Source organism: Homo sapiens, chromosome 6 (assembly GCF_000001405.40).
Source record: "Homo sapiens chromosome 6, GRCh38.p14 Primary Assembly".
Classification (NCBI taxonomy): Eukaryota; Metazoa; Chordata; class Mammalia; order Primates; family Hominidae; genus Homo; species Homo sapiens.
Window position 1 is genome coordinate 135564640 of NC_000006.12, and position 23554 is coordinate 135588193.

Sequence of the window (23554 nt, forward strand, 5' to 3'; positions counted from 1 at the left end):
GGTGACCTGGCCTTTCTCTCTGGCTGCCCTTAACATATTTTCCTTCATTTTGACTTTGGAGAATCTGATGACTATGTGTCTTGGGGTTGATCTTCTCATGGAGTATCTTAGTGGTATTCTGTTTTTCCTGAAATTGATTGTTGGCCTGTCTTGCTAGGTTGCAGAAGTTCTCCTGGATAATATTCTGAAGTGTGTTTTCCAACTTGGTTCCATTCTCCCTGCCTCTTTCAGGTACTACAATCAATCACAGGTTCAGTCTTTTTACATAGTCCCATGTTTCTTAGAGATTTTGTTTATTCCTTTTCATTCTTTTTTCTCTAATCTTGTCTGTCTGTCTTATTTCAACAAATGGTCTTCAATCTCTGATATTCTTTCTTCCACTTGATTGATTTGGCTATTGATACTTTTGTATGTTTCATAAAGTTCTCATGCTGTGTTTTTCAGCTCTATCAGGTCATTTATGTTCCTCTCTAAACTGGTTATTCTAGTTAGCAGCTCCTGCAACCTTTTATCAAGGTTCTTAGCTTCTTTCTTTGGATTAAAACATGCTCCTTTACCTCAGTGAAGTTTGTTGTTAGCCACCTTCTGAAGCCTACTTCTGTCAATTCATCCATCTCATCCTCCATGCAGTTCTGCACCCTTGCTGGAGAGGTATTGCAATCATTTGGAGGAGAAGAGGCGCTCTGGCCTTTTTAGGTTTTCAGTTTTTTTTTGTTGTTGATTCTTTTTTTTTTTTTTTTTTTTTAAGACAAAATCTCTCACTCAGTTGCCCAGGCTAGAGTGCAGTGGCATGATCTTGGTTCACTGCAACCTCTGCCTTCCAGGTTCAAGTGATTGTCCTGCCTCTGCCTCCTGAGTAGCTGGAATTACAGACACATGCTATCATGCCCGGCTAATTGTTTTGTATTTTTAGTAGAGACGGGGTTTTGCCATGTTGGCCAGGCTGGTCTCGGACTCCTGACCTCAGGTGATCCACCCACCTCAGCCTACCAAAGTGCTGGGATTATAGGCGTGAGCCACCTTGCCTGGCCTCACTGATTCTTTCTCATCTTCATGAGTTTGTCTAGTTTCAGTCTTTGAGGCTGCTGACCCTTGGATGAGGTTTTTGTGGGAACATTTTTTTTGGTTGATGCTGTTGTTTTGCTTTCTGTTTGTTTGTTTTTCTTCCAATAGTCAGGTCCCTCTTCTGTAGGGCTGCTGTGGCTTCCTGGGGTTCATTTCAGGCCCTATTCATCTGGTTCACTTCCATGCCTGGAGATGTCACTTGAGGAGGCTGGAGGACAGCAAAGATGGGTGCCTGCTCCTTCCTCTGGGATCTCTGACCTCAAAGGGCACTGACCTGATTCCAGTAGGAATGCTCCTGTACAGGGTGTCTGACAACCCTTGTTGGAGGGTCTCACTCAGTTAGGTGGTATGGAATGCAGGACCCAATTAATGAAGCACTTTGGCTGTCCCTTGGTAGGGGGCTGGTGTGCTGCCATGTGGGGGAAACCCACTCATCTGGGCTTCCTGTATTCCTCAGAACTAGCAGGAGGAAACACTAAGTCTGCTGGTTCATGGAGACTATGGCCACCCCTCCTGCTAGGGGCTTAGGCCCAGGGAGATTACGGTTCTGTCCCTGAGCCCCTGGCTGGAGTTGTTGGAGTTCCTGCAGTGAGGCCCCACCCAGTGAGGAGGGATGGGTCAGGGTCAGACCTGAAGAGGCACTCTGGCTGTAGTCTGCCACAGCCGGTGTGTTGGGCTGTGGGGGATACCTCTTGGGACCAAGCCATCCAGCCTCCCTGGCTCCAGCAGGGGAAAAGCATGACCTGGAGCTATGGAGATGGCTGCTGCCCTTCCCTTGCCCTGGGGGCTTAGTGTGTTAGGCAGCTAGCAGTCCCAGTGTTGGCTGCCATCCCTCCCTCAAGGAGCTCAAATGGCTTAGACAGCGGGAAGCCGCAGCTGTGGTGCTGGCCGCCCCTTCCCCCAATAACTCTGCAGGCTTAGGCAGATTCTAGCTGAGTGGCTGTTGAAAATCTATGTGGCTTCATGGTTGGGACCCTAGACCTGGGTGGCATGGGCTCATGAGTGGGATCTTCCATTGCACAGTTCCATGGGAAAAGCATGGTTTCCCAGGCTGAGTAGCATGCTTGCTCACTGCCTTCTTGGCTGGTGGGTGGGGGCTCCCCTGACCCTTGTGGGTCTCAGGTAGGCCGCAGAACCACACTGGTCTTCCTTTCTCTTGGTGGGTCATGCCAGCCGCCTAGTCAGTGCTGATGACAGAACCTGGATACCTCGGTTGCCAGCACAGGATTTGCAGGCTGTTTTGTTTCTTTTTGATGCAAGCCTCCAATTGTGGCTGCTTCTAGTCATCCATCTTGGGCCTGCCCCCCAGTTGCCTTTCCAGACCTGTGTAGGGCAGAGCCTTTGGGTTTATGTATAGAAAGAATGCAAATGCAAAACATTAAATTTCAAGCCAGTAGATAATGGTTCTCAATCCTTTTAACTGGATGCCCCAGCAGATCACAGAACAGCAACATGAGTTCTAGAACAAATGCAAAAGGTGCTCTGGTAGAGGACTTCCTGCCAGAACAAGTTTTCAATGACAAATATGACCTGTTTTGGATAAGACGTATTCTAGACTTTTATTTACTCTGCTTTTAAGTATTATATATATTTAGCCCTTAATTTTTTGTTCCTGTCAAACCTTTTATTTTCCACGAAGAAGTATTGTCAACCAACCATTCTGCCAGCCCCAGAACTTTTCACATGCAACTTTTTCTCCCCATGGTTGGCAAGGGATCACTGTAATTATTTCAGGCATGAAAATAAGCATTTATACACTTACTTTTCATTACCTTAAGAAAAACTGAACAAGTAACTGGAAGCATTTTAATAAGTGTGGCAGGGCAAGGTATTAATAATTTACAGGAGCAATATCCCTGTACACAATCCCTTCCTCGCCCCATTGGAGTAGTCTTATCAGAAAAAAGAAAAAATAATAAGAGCTGATTATTCCCATGGAAGATTGTCCTGAGGGCATTTGTAAAGGTAAAACTTTGAAGCTGCAGTCTTGGCACCTGTAGTTGAGAAGATGTCTCACTGAAGGGACCTGGGACAGACCCATCTCTGATTCTCTATGGGCTGCTATGTTACCAGTTCTCAAAGATGGGGGAAGAGAATTGTGCTCAGGCTGAGTTCTGCACTCAAATGAGGAACGGTAAGATGGCAACCACAATGGAATAAGAACCTGCCCTCCCCCACCCTTTTTCTCTGGACCTTGTCAGCCCTAGGATCCTTGTAAAGTCCCTCCCTTGAAGGGAGTGGAAGTAAGTATGTACCAATGACTGATATTGATCAGCTGCTTTCCTACCTAGGTGAGCAAGGGCTCAGATTGCAGAGTAATTTGATATAGAAAACTAAATTGAACAATTCTAGCACCTTGTGTTATGCAGGAACTTATTCATGTTATATATGATGATGGATATTGCCTACCATTTTTTAATAAAATTGATTTCCACAAGACCTGTTTTTTTGGGGGGTTGGGTAGGGGGGCTTGATTTTTCCTACAGGAAGATGAGTCTTTCCCTGGATCAAGTGTGGGAGAAAGAGGGGAAGACCGTGGAACTGGTTCTGAGCAAAAGTGTAAGTTACACTATTATGGAAAAGATCTATGCACATTTTGAAACTCGAAGGTTTTCCAGAATTATTGAGTTTATACAAATTCTGTTTTTAAGGCTGAATTAGCAGCTATCAGAATCCATTACAATTTTTTTGTTTTCTTTTTCTTTTTCTTTTTTTCTATAATAGAATAGGCTTGCTGTTGAGGAAATGTGTGAAAATACCAGTGGGGGAGCAGATTTTTCTAACTGATTAAAATATGTGGAGCTGCTGCAATGATTTCCTCTGTGTTTCCTTTGGCTACAGATAATACCACAAAGCTAACTCAGTGACGCACATGGCCAGCTGATAACAGCTGACACATGTGAATCGAAAGCCAAGTGTGTATTATCAGAAAGTGAGTTAAAAACCCATAAAACTCCCCACTGTCTGACTTGAAAACATTCCTCTTGAAATTTTAATGACATGGTAGGTAATATTTTTAATTCTGCGTGCTAAAACACTTCCAGTGAAATCTGAGAGTAAAAGCATGTCCCTTTAATCAATATGAGCTAGATATACAACCTAAGTATTAATATATTCCTGCAATAGCAGGATTCCTGAGAATTGCGTAAAATTGGTATCATTCATTAGGATGTACAACTAAATATTGGACGATCTTGATTTGCCTTTTAAAATTTAATTTTAATATTGTAATCAAACATTGACAAAGTTAAAAAACTCCAACAGTACCATAGCTTTAAAAAGAAAACCAGCAGTCCTCTGCTAAAACCCTTCCCATCACAGATTCCTGTTCCCTGGAGATACTTTCAATTATTGTAGTCGTTATGTTTATTGTTTACTGTAATATTTTAAAATAATCTTATACTATTATTTCTTCAATTTTAATTCATAAAAATTATCTAATGACTTCATATTACTGAAGATATGAATTTTGGTCTCTTCTACTGCCCACTTCTCTGTTCACACTTTCCTTTTCCTATCCTTCCAATGCGACTTTTGATGAAATCAGTTTGGTACATTTTTCTTGGTTAAATTCCCTGCTTATTATGATTATTTAAACATAATTCACCACTGAGCCATAGTGAATTATGATCCTATTTCTTTCTTATACAGCTTTTCATTTTTCATACTAATTGCTTTTTGTCAAGTTTAGTCTTCTATGCAGCCATCATTAATTTATTCCCAAACTTCCCACAGGACTTCAGATCTTCTCTCATCTCTCAATATGTTAAAATACACCTAAAAGTTAAATAAAAAAATAAGCTAATAGGTACTAGGCTTAATACCTGTGTGACAAAATAATCTGCACAAGAAACCCCTATGACACAAGTTTAGCTACATAACAAATCTGCACATGTACCCCTGAACTTAGAATAAAAGTTAACTAAAAAAAAAAAGTCCACCAAATGTGGGCCATGAAGATGCGCAGCCCAGATCTCCTTACAGAGTCTGCTATAGGACACATGGGGATTGCCTTCAGTTGCTGCTCCTACAGCTGCTTAGAACATGCTTCCCCTAGGTTGTTCTCGGCCAATGACTGAACATGGCTGGGGTATTAGGGCCTAGTCCTGTCCTAGTACCAATGAACAACTTTTGTGTGGGACTCCCCTCTCCACTGGCCTGGCTACAACTTTCTCAGAACTGTGCTGTGGTCTGGGGCTTTTCTACCCAATCCTCCCTTCCCTCTCCTTTCAAAAGGTCATATCTGCAAACAGTTATCCCTGCCTAATCCTGGTCTGGCCCCCTTTATCCTTCACAGACATTCCCCCCAGTAAATTTCTTGCACATCCAATCTCATCTTGGCACCTGCTTCTCAAAACGGGGCCCTGAGAGGAGTCTGAGAAAGCAGGCTCTAAGATGGACATGTGGATTGGCTTACTCTTTGCCCTGATGGTGGTAAGGAGGACCCCATCCTGAGAGTAATATGAGGTCAATGGAACCTGGTACAGTTGGAGGCTCAATTACTTAAATCTCACTTGTGGTGATTTGGGAAAACAGCCAGAGGGCTGATGATTGCTAAGTTATATTGATGTCCTACAAAGGATAATGAAAAACTGAGAGTGATTAACAAATAGTGAAAGGCTAAATGTAAGTGCCAGAGGGACTGTTGGTAGTTCACAAATAGGTCCTTATCTTCCACAGTAGAAGAACATACACAGCTGAGAAGCAGACATGGGATTTTATAGTTAAAGTCACAAAGCCTCAGAAACATTTAAATGCTCAGCTGAGGCAGGTTCTGGAACCCTGACACATGCGATAGAGACATCTAGGAGAATGCCTTGAGATTTTTTTTTTTTGAGACGGAGTCTTGCTCTGTCACCCAGGCTGTAGTGCAGTGGTGCGATCTCGGCTCACTGCAAGCTCCTCCTCCTGGGTTCACGCCATTCTCCTGCCTCAGCCTCCCTAGTAGCTGGGACTACAGGCACCTGTCACCATGCTTGGCTAATTTTTTGTATTTTTAGTAGAGATGGGGTTTCACCATGTTAACCAGGATGGTCTCGATCTCTTGACCTCATGATCCGCCTGCCTCGGCCTCCCAAAGTGCTGGGATTACAGGCGTGAGCCACCGCGCCTGGCCAAGGGTCTTGACACTACAGATCCCCTGAACCCTCAGAGCTTACGGAGACATCTCCTTTTTCCATAGCAAGGGCTACTGCTTCCTCTAATTGGAAGATGCTGGAGAGGCCTCTTCCCAATCAGGCAAGCGCCGCCTCAGGAATGCCTCCATTCCTGAGGGTCAAATCCCAGTGCAGCTTCATGGGGAATGTGCTGGGCCTGGTAAGAAAGGAAAGAAACCATGTACTAAAGGAACAGCAGGAACTAGTTAGCATGAACTAGCAGAAGCCAGGGGAGTATATTAGTGATTGGATTTTGAGGAGGTGATATGGTTTGGCTCTGCGTCCCCATCAAAATCTCATCTTGTAGCTCCTATAATTTCCACATGTTGTTGGGGGGATCCGGTGGGAGACTATTGAATCATGGGGGTGGGTCTTTCCCATGCTGTTCTCATGATAGTGAATGGGTCTCACAAGATCTGATGGTTTGAAAAACAGGAGTTTCTCTGCACAAGCTCTCTTTGCCTGCCACCATCCATGTAAGATGTGACTTGCTTCTTCTTGCCTTCCACCATGATTGTGAGGCCTTTCCAGCCACATGGAACTGTGAGTTCAAGTAAACCTCTTTCTTTTGTAAATTGCCCAGTCTCGGGCATGTCTATATCAGTAGCATGCAAATGAACTAATACAAAAGGCTTGATCAAGGGGACCGAGAAATGAAATTGTATAAGCAAAATTTATTGACTTGGGGGTACTTTCTTGGGACATAGGATCCTGGCAAGGACCCCAAGTGATGGAACAAACTTGTTGCCAGCATGGACCTTTGAAACCTGGAAAAAGCAATGGTCTGAATGAAGTGGAAATGCCAGACATCAGAAGAATTACAAAGGCTAAGGGAATCAGGCAAAGAGTGAAGACTTTAAATCAGATGTTAATGCCTACCAGAAAGCATACACCATGGAAGAGGCACTGAACAACTAAATTGACAAAATAACTTGGTCATTTGGCATTATCCAGTCTTCATGATTGGTCACTCTGGTACTAATGGGAAAGGAATAATAACATAGTGGTCATCATGGTGGCAGAGATGAAAGATATACATGGGCCCAACAGTGGGAACTTTCCCACTTACCAAGGTCAATCTACCTACTGCTGCCTCTGAACATCCAGTTTGTCATTAACCAAGATCAACACTGAGCCCTGATATGGCATTATTGCTCTAGGGGACCAAATAACCACTTGGTGGCAAACCAACCAAATTGGGTCTCTTATCTGGTGGATGGACCAGCAGTTCGTCCACTCTGGGACAGATACCTATTCTGGGTATGATTTCCTGCCCACTGAGATTCAGCTAACACTGTTTTCTGGGGGCTTAAAGAATACTTGACTCATAGGCATGGAATCCTGTACAGCATAGCATCAGACAGGGGACTCACTTCACAGTGATGTAGGTGTGGGAGTAGGGCTATGACATGGGATTCACTGATCCTATCACCTACTGCATCATTTAGAAGCAGCTGCTCCATAGAGGGTTGGGATGACTTTCTAAAGGCACAGTGAGAGTCCTAGTTAGGAGGCAATACTCTGTGAGGATGGTGTATCATTATTCAGGATGTAGCATATGCATTAGACTGGAGAACTTCATATTGTATTGTGACCCCAGGAGGACGAATACATGGATCTGGGTACCAAGGAGGTGGAACCAGAAATAGCTCCATCCCAGTGATCTGCTGGGGGCCTTTGTACTTTCCATCTTGCAACTTTGGGCTCTGCATGATTGAAAGTCTGTACTAGTTTGGGTTCTCTAGAGAAACAGAACCAATAGGATACACACACACACACACACACACACACACACACACACACACACACACCCCTTCCATTCCTGAGGGCCAAATCCCAGTACAGCTTCATGGGGAATGTGCTGGGCCTGGTAAGATGTGTGTGTGTATGTGTATTTTTATATATAATATATGTCCTATATATTTAGAAGTACATATATACTTCTTATATATTTATATATACTATTTATTTACTTATATATATAATCTTATGTTCTATCTATTTAGAAGTATGTATATGTCCTATATATTTAGAAGTATATATTTTTATATACAATATATAGTCCTATATATTTACACTTTATATATACACATTATATTAAATATATATACATTATATGGTACCTTCATATTAAATACATAAAGTATATGATATACTTCCTAATATATAGGACATATATTAAGAATATATGTTTTTATATCTCTCTATATATTTATATGTATAGAGACATATCCTATATGTATATTCTTAGTATATATGTACTATATAAAGGACATATACAAATATATATGGTTTTTTTAATAAGTTTTTTTTATTTTTTAGTTGTATTTTAACATATTGAGAGATGAGAGAAGATCTGAAGTCCTGTGGGAAGTTTGGGAATAAATTAATGATGGCTGCATAGAAGACTAAACCTGACAAACAACAATTAGTATGAAAAATGAAAATATACAAATGTATATGTCCTTAATCTATATAGGACATATATATTAAGAATATATCTCTGTATATCTCTTATCTTTCTATCTATGGAGGGATTGATTTATTATAAGAAATTGGCTTACAAAATTATGGAAGCTGAGAAGTCCCATGACCTGTAGTCAGTAAGCTGAAGACCCAGGTGATCTGGTATTAACGGTATAGTTTCAGTCCAAGTCTGAAGGCCTGAGAACCAGGAGAGCTGGTGGTGCAAGTTCCAGTCTGAATGCCAGCAAATACTGATGTTGCAGTCTAAAAATAGGCAGAGGGAGTGAATTCTCCCTCACACTGCCTTGTATTCTACTTAGGCCACCAACAGATTGGGTGAGGCCCACCCACACTGGGGAGGGCAATCTGCTTTACTCAGTCTGCTGGTTCAAATGTTAACCTCATCCAGAAAGACCCTCGCAGACACACCCAGAATAATGTTTAACCATATATCTGGGCACCCTGTGGACCAGTCAGGCTGATACATAAAATTAACCATCACAAAGTCTATGTCCCCAAAGGGAGTCATTCTTGCAAAGAGACACAGTAAAGGTCTCCTTGAATTATAAGCTACAGCTACTGCCAGACCACTTTTAATTTCCTGTGTCCAAGGACCAGAAATTGGGGACAGGAGGCACCATCTTGGCAGGGGCAGTTGGCAAGAGAAGGTAAGACTGCTTTCCCACAATGGGAGCAGGAAGGAATTCATGTGGAACCAGGTGGTCCTCTGGGTACCGCGCTGCCCAGTGTAACTGTGAGTGGGCACATGCAGCAATCCTAACCTGAAAAGTCTCTGATTAGAAAGAGCTCAGGCTCCTCAAGAGCAAAGTTTTGGGTGAAACCACCAGGTCAGCCTGAAGACTTTCTGAGGTGACAGCTGAAGATTAGTGGAATTCTGAGTAAATAACGATGAAAGGAGAGGACGAGTGCCCATGGCATCCCTAAAACCACCTGCAGTGACGCAACCATCATGCATCCCACCAGCTTTCCTCTTCTCAGATTCCTTTCAAGAAGAGAGGCCCATGACACTTTGGAGGAACTGCTCCTCAAATGTGCCTGAAATGAATCTTTTTTTTTTTCCCTTGGCTTCAGCATCCCAAGTAGCTGGGATTACAGGCGTCCACCACCATGCCTGGCTAATTTTTGTATTTTTAGTAGAGACGGGGTTTCACCATGTTGGCTAGGCTGGTCTCGAGCTCCTGACCTCAGGTGATCCACCCGCCTCGGCCTCCCAGAGTGCCGGGATTACAGACATGAGCCACCGAGTGCAGCTGAGAAGCGAATCTTTCAAGAAGTGTGGCTATAATGACAACAAGAGAGAAGGGAGAAACCATGTCAAGAAACAGTTTATTTAATATGAGGGAGTGTATTTTAAAGAACGCAAAGTGGGAGCGACTTATTGAAGATATAAGAGAGAGGGAAGAGATAAGTGATTGACAATAAATTGTCCCTGAGAAGATAGGAAGAAATAGGACCTTGGCAGAGGAGTGGTCAGGAGAAAAGAGAAAGATGCTCTACTGTGATCAGAGAAAAGAGTCAAAGGAGAGGTATGAGCCTACATTTATAGTTTTGGATGCAGATGGTGAGGGCATTCCTATGTGATGGGTTCTTTTTCTATTTGAAGTTTGAGGCAACTTTGCTTAGACTGAATGGCACTTGGTAGCATGAGAGTGGTGTGAAAAGAGAGGTGAGGTGATTGTGGGAATAGTAGGTGCAATTGAGATATTTGTTCAAAAACAAGTGGATCTTTAAAATCATTTTTTGAGCACTAACAATGTCAGGCACACTACTGAGCTCTTTTCCGCATTATTTCTAATATTTAAACCTATCATACTTACTCTGAGAATTAATGAATATTGCCTTTAATTTATTGGAAAAGAATGTTTTCTTACTTGTCCAATTCATTCCTTTACTTGTTTAACATATATTTACTGAGCTTCAATTATATGGCAAGCACTGTTCTCAGCATAGTAAGTAAGTGTATCAGTAATGCAAACCAAGGGCTGCCTGATTTCAAAATCCAGTTTCCTTATAGTATGTCAATAAAAATGATCCAACAATACAAAATATTGACTCTGTGAGCCCTCTACCGGGTTCACCTATTCTAATGAGACAGGGAACTACTACTTTATACAACAAAGACAGATTGATTATTTATAGTTGTTTAAATTATTTCAAGTATATTTTCAATGATAAGTTTGGAAGTTGAATTCCAATATAATTTCTTTATGGTAATTAAGAAGATGAATTAGTATCTTATTAAAATGTATTTTCCTTACATATTCAAAAGCAACATCTTGAATATTTGAAAACGCTTATGGTAAAATTATGACTAATTCATGATTTAGTGCATCGCACTTCAGCTGAAATTTACATTGGCATTTACTTTGAAGAAATAATTTGATAACCAATGTAATAATTTGCACAACATTTAAAAAAGGTTTGTGAGTTTGAGGAGTGGTTGTGGTTGCATTTAACTCATCCTTTAAAACCAGCTTTTTTTAATTGGTCAGCATATTTCTTTGTTAGTAACTCCAGTCATTTATTGAAGCACACTCAAATGATATTTACTTGCACAAACATATTAGGGTTATAATATACCTTTTCTGTTTTTAAATTTCTATTTGTTGCAATTGTAGACAGATAAACGTTATTGGCCCCCTGTGCACATGGGGCTTTTGTGGGAAAAGTGCAATGCTATAATACATTAAAAGCCATAAGCTTTTACATTAAAAAGCAGTGATGATGGGATGAGGGTAAGTGCCATCCCATGGTGTTATTGCTATAGCATCAGCTGTGGCACTATTTTCATGAACAGACTTAGAGTTGAGTACCTCTCAAAGCAATTTTTATGTTTGAACAAATACAGTGATGGATCAGCAGAGTGAGTTACTCATCAAGAACTTGGCAAGAAGGATGAGTTACGCTGAGCAAAAATGCTGCTGAGTTTAATGACTCTTTGGGAACATGTAGGCACTTAAGTCTCTGGGGTCTAAATCTGGTTAATTCACAAGTGTGAAATTGTCAGCCTACTTAAAAGAGGCAGAAATTATGCAATGCTTTTAGAAAGCAATTTTAATGTAAGAGGAGCACTGGAAGCCAGACAGGGCATAGTAGTATTATATTAATGACTTTTGTTTTGTCATGGTAGAACAGTTAATTGATTCCATGAGGAAGATGGAACAAAAGAGACTTTCTAGAAATTTCATTCTCCTTCTAGGAGAGAAGAGATAATCAGGGAAGGATTTCTCATTTTAAATCTCTGAATTAGTTCTTATTCCTGATTCAGGAAAGGTTTTCTCTAATAAGTATGCACTCAGAGTTTGAAGAAAAATGTGATGTGACTAAAGAGAAAAAACAATAATATGAAATGTCTTTATTACCTTAAATAAGTAAAATTAGATTCAACATACCCATTTGTTAGATACTGGGATTTTTGAAGGGATGATTTACCATGTATAACATGTTCTCATTTCTCAATGTATTTCACTTCCTTGGCCTTCAAATATTGCACTTGTTACTATTCTTACACTTTACCAGTGAAATTAAATCAAGGCAAATAAGAGTTTTTTTAACATGTTTTTAAAACTTTTTAGAGATAAATGTGTTCCTTCCACTCCTATCGAAAATGGAGTAACAAGGACTTTCTACCAGAAGCAACTAGAAAACCAAGATATATACGTCTGGTTTTTAAACCTTGAGCCTAAGATATCATAGGCCTGTGATTGCTTCAAGAAAAAAAAAAAAGAAAGTGCGCTCTAAAATTGCATTTTTTTTTTTTTGCATAGCAGGTAGTACAGGGAGGATGCATTCAGAGACCAGAGATTCTGCTAAATTGAAGAAAAAGAGGAACTAACCCACAAAGGCCAAATTTGTTAGAATTTGCAAGCAGTCTACCAGTGGGGAAGGAACAGCACAAAGACAGAGCTCTAGAAATCTGCAGAGAGGTTCCCACAAGTCTTTGGATGAATACTGATCTCTATAATGCATGAGAAGAAACTATCTGAGATTGGAGTGGGTGGAACACCACAAATAGAGTGAGGAGAACAGTTTCAGAGCTCAAACTGGCTAGAAATAGTTCATGTTTTCACCATTAAAGTGGAAATAATTTGTCATACAAAGAGTATTGGGTAGAATGCTCAGAAAACTGTCACCTTTGTTGTGGGGATAAACTGGCTCTATGCTAAAGGCTGCTCTCAACACACACAAAGCTTAAGGACAAGCATCAGAATGATTTAACTGGTTCCAAGCAACTTAACTGCATGCCAAAGCAAAGTCTAATGCTATTTTAAGGAATACAACAAAACTCAGTAAAGAACAACGTAAAAATCACAATGAATGGCATCCAACAGAAAACTACCAGGCATACAAAAAAAAAAAAGAATATGATTCTAGTAAGATAAAAAACAGAAACAAAATCTACAAAATAGACCCAGAAATGAAAAAAATAATAAAACCAGCAGATAAGGATGTTAAAATAGTGATTATAAATATGCTCGATATGTTTAATAAGGTAGGTAACAAGGAGATAAATAACCTAAATGGAATTTCTAAAGCTGAAAAACACAGTATCTGAAAGGGAAAATGCAATTGAATGGGGTCAACAGCTGATTAAACAATGTAGAAGAAAAGATCAGTGAACTTTAGGATGTAGAAACTATCCAAAATGAAGCCTAAAGAAAAAAAAATGGTTAAGACAAATGGACGTAACATCAGTGACCTGTGGGACAATATCAAACAGTCTAACATGTTATTACATCTAATTGGAGATAAAGAGGTGGGAGACATAAAAATATTCAACAAAAAATGGCCAAATATGATTCCAATTTGATTATAAACAGAAATTTTGAGAAGAAGCCAGAGGGGGAAAAAATCTTATCATATACGGAAGAACAAAGAATTGTCACAGATTTCTTGTCAGGAACTGTGCAAACTAAAAGACAAATTTAAAGTTCTGAAAGAAAAAAACTTGAATTTTGTACTGTTGAATATATGTTTCAAACAAATGCAAAAGGAAGACTTTTTACACACACACACACATACACACACACACACGCTCTCTTGAGAAAATTTGTCAAAAGTACACCTGTACAAGAAATGTTAAAGGAAGTTCTTTAGGGCAGAAAATTCATAACTGTTTTTTTTTTTATTCATTATGCCTTTTTATAAATGTTGACATTTTTCTTTATTGTAATGTATTTTTACCATGAAATTTACTTTACCTGAAATCAATATTGCTATTTTTATTTATTTTACCTGATTTTTGTCTTAATTAGCTACTGTTTTTTCTTCATTTGTAATATTTATAATATATTTATTTAACATACCTTTTCTAAGGTGGAATAGTTTGAATGCTACTTTTTGAATTATTCTGTGTTTGTCTCTTTTTGAATTGAATTTAAGCAACTTGAATTTAGTTATAACAAATATATTTAGTCTGTCTCCTGTCATTTTGTTTTATATTGTCTAAGGCTTCATTTTCTATGCCAATACTTTCGTATTCTAAATTTTAGGGACTATTAGTTTATGTATGGGTATGTGTGTTGCTGTTGCTTATATGGAGCATATTTTGTTTGCTTTTATAAATTGCCTACTGCATTAGAAGGCATCTGTAAGGCTTAGGTCCAATTCTATTAGTGATCACTTTCACATTCAAAACTATGCTTGAATCTTTTTTTAAATTTCCCTATTTCTGAATTTCAAGAATGAAAAAAAATTGCTACCTGTAATATTACATGAATAATTTGATGTATTTCACCATTCTTCTAGAAAATATACTCATTTTTGCTATTTCATTATGTTATTAACTTTTTAGGAGACTATCAAATTGTTTGCAACGTGATGATGTCATTTCATAGTCCCACCAACTATATAGGAAAGATGTACTTGCTATTGTAGCCTTAAAAATTTTTAGCCTTTAGAAGTTTTATAGTTTTAGTATTTATATTACGGTCTGTAATCCATCATTTTGAGTTAATTTTTTAAAAGGTGCAAGGTAAAGATTAAACTTCATTTTTACCGTATGGATATCCAGTTGGTCTAGATCACTTGTGGAAAAGACTATTTTTAACCCTGTTGAATTATCTTGACACTTTGATTATCTTGAAAATCAATTGACAATATATGTGTGGGTCTATTCTGAATTCTCAGTTTGGTTCCATGGATCTATGTATGTATTCTTATGTTGATACCATATTCTCCTGATTACTGTATCTTTATAGTAAGTCTTGAGATTAACAAGTATAAATCTTCCACTTTTCCCTCAGCTATGCTGAATCTTTTGCATTTCTACATAAGTTTTAGAATCAGCTTGAAAATTTATGTCAAAAAAGCCTGTGAGAATATTGATTAGGATTGCATTGAATCTACAGACCAATTTGGATATAATTGACCTTTTGACAATTTCAGTTTTCTAATTCATAAACATGTATGCCTTATCTTTTTGTGTATATCATTTAATTTTTCTCAAGGATATTTGTATAGGTGTTGCACAAAATTTGTTAAATTTCTTCCCTGTCTCAAAGTAGAAAATAGAAAACAATCACAGAGATGCCATTATAAAATATATAGATATAGCAATCCTCTAAAATTCCCATTTAACTCTGTAGTTTGACCGGAATGAAAGACGGCTATCTTGGAGAATGATGTTAGATTAATCAAGTAGTCACTCTAATAATAGCAACTGTTCCAACTACCATCTCCATATTGAAATCCTACAAATGTTTCCTCTTTAAAAAAAAAATTCAAAACAGAAGAACCAGCAGCATGTCTTTCACTAACTGATTCAGTTAGCTCCTGGGGCAGTGATCATCTCCCTATTTTATAGGACATCATACTCATCCGTTACATTGAAGATACCATATAGATTCTTGGATAGAATAAGAAAGAGAGTGCTAGGTGCCTTAGAGTACATGTACTGATGAAAATACAGGAGCCTGACACTTAATTAAATTTTTTGGAATTTAGGAGCCTTGGTCAAGAAAGATAGATATCTTTATTAGAGTAACTAATTTTTTTTTAAAGAGATGAAGTCTCACTTTATCACCAAGGCTGAAGTGTAGTGGGCACAATCATAGCTCACTGCAGCCTAGAACTCCTGGGCTCAAGTGATTCTGCCACCTCAGCCTCCTGAGTAGCTCGGACTACAGACACATGCCACCATGCTCAGCTAATTAAAATTTTTTATTTTTTGTTTTTTATTTATTTTTATTTTTATTTATTTTTATTTTTTATTTTTTTTTAGAGATTGGATTTCAACTATGTTGCTCAGGCTGGTCTCAAACTTCTGGCCCCAATAGATCCTCCCACTTAGGCCTCCCAAAGTGTTGGGATTACAGGTGTGAGCTACCATGCTCTACAGCAATGATTTGCTGAACCTTGTCCATCCTTCAATGTTTAGGGTATCTTTTAGATTTTGTAGGCAACTTATCCCATGTATAGGTGTGTGCTGCCTAATTTATTAACTGAATGACCTAAAAAGCTTCCCCATTAAGGCCCAGAACAAGGGAGGGCTTTCCTGATGGCCCAGGCTGCAGTGTAAACAGCTAAACTGTTTGGCTCCCATGTTGCTTAAAGTGTCTATGGAAGATACGAATGCTGTGGCAAGTCCTATAAGAGGATTGCAGAAGAGACTGGTATCTTTGATTTGAGATGCAGCTGGAATGGAAATTTGTCTCACTTCACTTTCTGCCTCATGTTTCCTCCATCACCAAGGAAGCTGGTAATAACTTGGTTGGTCTGAACCCATGCACAGCTCAGAAGTGTGAGTGAGTTAATACCCCCAAGGAAAACTTTTGACTAATTGGGGGAAGAAAGCAGATAGATAAATGCTTCTCCTGTTTCCCTCCTTCTGATAGAAAATTCAGGGAGGTATCTGGAAACTTCTCAGGAGCCCTCAACAGAACAGTGCATTAATATACTACAGCCAAATACCACTAAGAACACATCTGTGGCAGAACAAGTTCGGCTCAAGGTTCATTGCAACAAGGGAGAACTCCCCTCATAGGGATCTTTGGGACATTTCTGTAAGATGGTGTTAAAAGGACGTATAGGATTTTTAGCTATGCCAGGTATTTTGAGGAGAGTTCAAGAATGCAGGGCTTTGTTATGGATTAGATGCTGTCAGGAAGTGAGGATAATTCTGACTGGGTGTCTTAAATCTTTACAAGGTGAGAAGACTAAAGTGAGGGTAAATCTAATTGATAAAGAATCATATTAGCAAGGTTAGGGAGACGCTTGGTCATTTGTATGGTTTGGATAATGTTGTTTTTAATCTGTGTTCAGATGTGATTACGAAGTGGTATTTTTGCTCTAATTCATTACAGTTGTGGTGTGGCCTTGTTGATGTTGATGTTCTAGGAAAATTGTTCACATCCAACAGGAGAATGTTGAGACCTAGCTGTGAATGCCAGGCCAGCTCTTAGCAAAACCAAAGTCTAGCTGGTAGTTCCAGGCTATTCTTATCAGTTAAGAGCTATTTTTCTCTCTCTCAAGAACCACTGGTTTTCTGGAAGGAATAGCTTCAAGAATACCCTCTTATAATGGCTTTTCATCCTTCCTGTTGCATTCTTTCTGGCCTCTCACTCTGTCTCAGTCTATACCTTCAGCCTTCTGTAGGCATGGTAACTCAAGTTGAGATACTCTTTCAGGAACACAAACAATATTCTAAATAGTATTCCCCTTTTGAAAAACAGCTGCCCATCATGAACTGTGCTATATGATCCATCTGGCCATAAGGTCGGGACGTGCTAACTATGCTCCATCATTAAGTGGACGTAGATATTCTCAACAGGGCTCAATTGTTCCTGAAGGCAAAAGTACCTTTCCTGAATAGGACATTCACATGTCCAGTGTGCCTTCACTTTATTACCCTTCAGTTTGCTCCTGTGGCCTGTGGACATTCCCAATGACTAGTTGGCTGAGGAGGTATGGCTGTGAGTCTGCTTTACAGATGGCTCTGCATCATATGGCATCATCTGCTATAACTGGCCAAAATAATTATGAAAAAGTTCAGCTCCATTCAGGATTGGTTTAGAAAGGACATTCCTGAGGAGGCAGAATTTGAAACAGAAAAACTCATTTTCCCAATTGTATCTTGAGCTAAGGATATAAGGATGGGACAAGGATGGGGAAAAGTTCAGAGCTACTTCCTTGGCAGCAGTTTTCTGTGGCAGCCATGTCAGAGGACAGTATCATGTTGACATCAGCAGTGGCATCAATCAGTCTCATCCTGGGTTATGGTGATGGAGGACCAGGTACCTACATGCTCCACATCTTTCCCGATGCCTTGGACTTACCTAAACCTCTGAGATGAAGCTAAAATCCTGGAAAAAAAGGAAGTATGTAGGAAAACCTTGATTTCACTGAGGAAAAAATTAGAATAAACCACATTCACCATATATTGACTAATATTATGTTTTTACCACCAGAGAGGCTTGAGACAAAAAATAAGTTCAGTGATCAAGAAAACAAAGAAAATATCCACTCTCAAATTTGTAGCCTGATAATTCAGACCTGTAGTTAGAAGTATTGACAGTGGCTTTCTAGATAGAGACACTAAGAGAGAGACTAGGAAACTTAGGTTACTTAAGTTTTCTTATTTGTACTATTTTTCATACATGTAACAAAATTTTTTACAACAAATATGTATTACCTCTATAATCAGAAAACTATAAGCATTGCTTTAGAGGAATATCATCAAGGCAAAAACACTACTGAAAGTCAATGATGAGTATCTGTGACTAGTATTACTATGGTTATTATTATTACATTTAACCTAATAGAAATGGTACTATACATTTACTATTATAAACCTTATCCTAATAGGAGTTATAGTTGATTAAAACACTTAAATTTATCTTGTTGATATTTTCTTAGCTAATAATATTATACTATAAAATTAATACTTCTCGGTCTTTTTTGCAAACTCTTAAAATATGAAAGACAAAATTCTTACCTCTTGGTCATGTGAGTCATCAATGACTGTGGAAGCTACTCATGAGCTCATGCTTATTTATAATCTTGAATATGTGCTCACACAGATTATATAACATTAAGCAAGAAGCAATTCACTGGCAATGCCTAATATTGGGGCAGATAGACACTTATATGAGTTACACAGAAAATATTATTACTCACTTTTGTGGACAGTGGGGGCAGAGAGGATTTGTTTTCAGCTCTAACTTCAGTCAGGAAATGTCTCTACTGTTAACAAGAAAAGCTCTAGACTTACTAAAGTTAACAGCATTTATTTGAGCAAAGATTGATTCATGTATTGGTCAGCACTCAGAACCAGAAGACGTTCAGAGAGCTCTGCTCTACAATGTGGGCAGTGAGTATTCATAGACAGAAGACCATGGAAGCACAGAAATACCTTAATTGGTTACAGCTAGGCTTTTGCCTTGTTTGGACATGGTATGAATAACTGGCTGCTTGTCATTTGCTGAAGCTCTGCTGCTTGTGATTGGTTGAGATCCGGCTATTTTAACTCCTAAATTAGATTGCCCTACAGGTTGCAGTTCTTTAGGTAGGAACTTCAAGTATACAGACAGCCTCAGGCTAATGGCCTTCTGCTTATTTAATGTAGCAGTACCAAAAGAAGTTTCATTCTACCATATCCCCTTTCCATTACTGCAGTGTATGGAAAGCCACATTTATCCCACAGAGAGAATAGGGCTGGAACAGAGGGATCTGACCACAGTGAGAGGGCAGATCGCAGAGACTGAATAGGAGTACGGTGCTGAGTGTGTAGACAGGATTCAGAACCTTCCACAGCAATCAGCTGATACAGACTCACCGCCTAATGATTCAGAAAATGAGGGATCAAAGACTAGAATGGAGAGAGAAAAAATGAAGTGTGGCAAGAGCAACAAGGGGTAGTGGGATGCACAGAAAGGATCCAAAGGACATCAGCACTAATCCCTCAGTTGACAATAATGGCTATCTGGAAGCCACCTACCCCTGAGAAATTGTGAAGTACATGTGTAGATCTCATGACACAAAAGAATACTTTTAGTATATTGCTGCTATAATCAATATGATTAAAAGGTTAACTACAAATTTGGAGCATATTGGTCACAAAACAGCTGACATTTCTTTCTGGATATGTACCAGGTAATGCTGAGCAGTTTATATGCCTTGGGTACATTTAATTTTTCCAACAACACTATGAGGTAGGTACTGTTTTCCTCATTGAGAAAAGTGCAGAATGACCAAGTGGCTTGCTTAAGGTCCACAGCAAATGGTTGGCAGGGCCAGATTCAGGCTGAGATATCTGACTTCAGAGTCTGAGATGTTAATTACTGCATAGACTTCTTTTCCAAACTGACGGATCTCTGTGAGGAGCATCATCACATCTCTGTTAGGAGCAACTGTTAATTTATTAAAACCTACTGTAGGCTGGGTGCAGTGGCTCACACCTGTAATCCCAACACTTTGGGAGGTCAAGTTGGGTGGATGATGAGGTCAGGAGTTTGAGACCAGCCTGGCCAACATGGCGAAACCCCATCTCTACTAAAAATACAAAAAATTAGCTGGGCGTGGTGGTGTGCACCTGTAATCCCAGCTACTTGGGAGGCTGAGGCAGGAGAATAGTTTGAACCTAGGGGGTGGAGGTTGCAGTGAGCCGAGTTTGCACCACTGCACTCCAGCCTGGGTGACAGAGCGTGACACTGTCTCAAAAAAAAAAAAAAAAAAAACACCAAAAAAACCACCACTGTATATTCCTTAGAGTTTAGATAGTATGACTGAGTGGAGAAAATTTTAAGAGTGTGGATTCAGCATCTTCAACAGAATTTTTGGTTCTGTTTTCTTAATTTATCCTATAGAGTAGTTTCAGGTACTGATATTTGTGGATACTTGGACCAAATGGACCATATCAAATATTATGCCAGAGATTCTGATCCCTAAACTAAGTAGAATAGGCACTTGATTTATAATTGTGTCTTAACAACATCGTTTCTCTCTTATCTTGTGTTACTCTTTGTCATTTATTCCTCACAGGAAGAAAGAAGTACCTAAGGCCCCACCATTAGAACCTGACTCTGTGTTTCTAATGCTTCAGGCCAAGGAGGAAAACACTGTATTTAATGCGCTTGCAGTATTTCTATTCTTGCAAAATACTTACTGTTCCAAGCAAGTGAGTTTTCAAATAAAATAAGAAAAGCATTTTCCTATTTTTGCTGCTTACCTTATTGCTCTATAACCCTCTACAAGTGTATCTATTTCCAAATCGTTTTCTCTGGGGAGGCTACATTTCACACTTCTACAACATAAAATACTACCACAGAGATTCTTAACAGTTGACATTTGTAGACCTCCTTGATTGAAAGGTTGTGCAGTGAATACATTTGTTTTGGAATCAAATAAATATTATTTAAATTTGGAAATAGATACACTTGTAGAGGGTTATAGAGCAATAAGGTAAGCACCAAAAATACGAGAATGCTTTTCTTATTCTATCTGAAAACCCACTTGCTTGGAACAGTAAGTATTTTGCAAGAAAAAAATTACCTCAAGCATTTTAAGTACAGTGTTTTCCTCCTTGGCCTGAAGCATCAGAACCATAGAGTCAGATTCTAATGGTGGGGCCTTAGGTACTTCTTTCTCACCGTGAGGAATAAATGACAAGGAGCAACACAAGATAAATAAACCTGTTCTAATCTAGAGCTAATATGATATAATTTACAAATGTTCTGGTTTTAATTTTAAACAAATTATTCTGCCTGACCCCATGTTTTTCATTGCACACTAATATTGATATTTGACACATCAGATTATTAGATATTCATAACATTTGATTCCTTTGGCTATCATGGATCATTCTTTTATTCAGTAAATATTTATCGAAAGCCTTAAATGAGCCAAACTCTATTCTGATTCTGGGAATATAGTTGGTAACAAGACAAAAAAGATCACTGTTCTTGTGGAGTGAATATTCTCATGAGGAAAGAGAGACAGTATTCAAAATGTAAGAGGAATATGTTAGATAGTGATGAGTGCTCTGATGACAATAAGGCAGAGTCTGATGATAGGGAGGGACTTGGGGGCTCCTTTGGAGTGAGTAATCCAAGAAGACTGGAATGGCAAGCAGGGACCACTGCTGTAAAATCAGTGAAAGAGCATCCCAGATACAGGGAACTGACAGAGCTGCAGTCAACAACCTAGAACCAGGCTGTTCAAGGCAGAGAATGCACGAATCACAGATTGCTTTATCTAGACAAAATAATCAAAAGATATCCTGGCATTCCCCCTTCTGTTGGTGAGGCTCCAAGACCAACCTCACAAGACAAATGGTAAGACTGGTTTGTTTGGTAAGACTGGTTTTATTAACTACTCATAAAGATGGCAGAAGCAACAGAATTGACTTTCTTGCATAGTAAACAGGAGACTAGTCTGTGAGTGACCTGGAGAAGCTTAGTACGGCTGTGGCCAGTTTGATAGTTAATAGGTTAATTCTGATAATTATCAGCTGAGTTGATAGTTAATCCTATATTGAAATCCTGGAGGAGAAAGAATACAAAAGAGATGACATGGAAACCAGCTTCTTGTTCGCACTTGTTACTGAGAAAACACACTGCATAACACACAGGTTAAACGCTGTTTGCTGTTCATGGGGCTTTAATTGGAGGGTCACTCTTCTGGATGTTTGTATCACAAGTGCATTCCAGTGGCACTGGCCCAAGCTGTTATTTCCACCTTGTAGCTCATGTGGTTTTGCTATGGTGCTGATGTGCGTAAATGTGGTTGTTTCTGTGGTTTTCTTACAGGTCCTGGAGAATTACATATCATGCAAAAGGTTATAGGTCAGCTTATCTTTGCAGATATAGAACTAGGTAAAACTCCCCTAAAATACCGGTGCTTAGCAAAGTAACCTTGCAAGTTTACTTTGCCCTTCAATGATCAACAACAAAAACCAACCAACTAAACAAACAAAAATTAGAACTCATTAGCTTAACGATCCATCATTCATTAATACTCTTGAGCTTATGGAGAAAACAACCAATATATAAAATATTCTTCAATTGTACCTGCTGCTTTTATTTCTTTTAGAAGTATTTTTTTAAGCTGTACTTTTCCTAAAGCCTGAGAATATTTTGTGTTATTTTTGATGCCAGAAAGGATAATATAATACACTGTATGTCTTTAATTCGTTGTAACTGGTGGAAAAAGAGAAAGATAATTGAAACCTTAAAACAGCAGAGATAAGTGATCTAAGTTGTAAATCTGTTAGTAATTCAAGAACATTTAGAAATATCTCCTGATAAGGTTAATTGAAGGAATATTCTAATGAATGTAGTAAATTAGTTGTTCCCAATCTCAAAATCTTTTAATATTCTGAAAGAAATTAAGATTTTAGTGAGAGATATTCCACTTTATGGAACTACTTCTTTCTCCCTTTATCTCTTTATGGAAAATTCTATCTTAAGGAGCAAGGTGAATCTTTCTTGTTCTCTTTTACTGCAAAATATTTGTTTTTAATATGTAACTAACCTGCACATTGTGCACATGTACCCTAAAGCTTAAAGTATAATAATAGTAAAATAAAAAAAAATTGTTTTTAAAGCAAAACAAACTTACATAGAATCAATAATTTCTGTTATTAAATTATAGAATGGGAAGATGTATTGCTTATTGTGATGACCCTCAACCCTGGCTGCACATTAGAATCTCCTGGAATGGGGCTTCCAAACCTTAGTGTGCTTGTGAATCATCTAGGGAGTTTGTTAAAATGCAGATTTTGATTTAGGACTTCTGGGGTAGGACCTGAGAGTCTGCGTTTATAACAAACTCACAAGTGATGTTGATGCTTGATTAGCCTGTTCTTTCATTGCTATAAAGAAATACCTGAGACTGGGTAATTTATGAAG

At 38.8% G+C, this 23554-nt stretch overlaps 1 long non-coding RNA gene across 4 annotated transcripts in view, besides 1 other annotated feature; it reads left to right on the plus strand.

The window, feature by feature from the left end:
- The window catches only part of AHI1-DT (AHI1 divergent transcript), a 218255-nt gene that overhangs the window by 66839 nt on the left and 127862 nt on the right, over positions 1 to 23554 (plus strand). The gene's annotated exons all lie outside the window — the stretch shown is intronic.
- Positions 3865 to 3914: a silencer, noted in NCBI's record as "silent region_17571". NCBI's record gives its function as "represses an Ori minimal core promoter by ATAC-STARR-seq in GM12878 lymphoblastoid cells {active_cell/tissue: GM12878}" and the evidence as "EXISTENCE:reporter gene assay evidence [ECO:0000049][PMID:35858748]".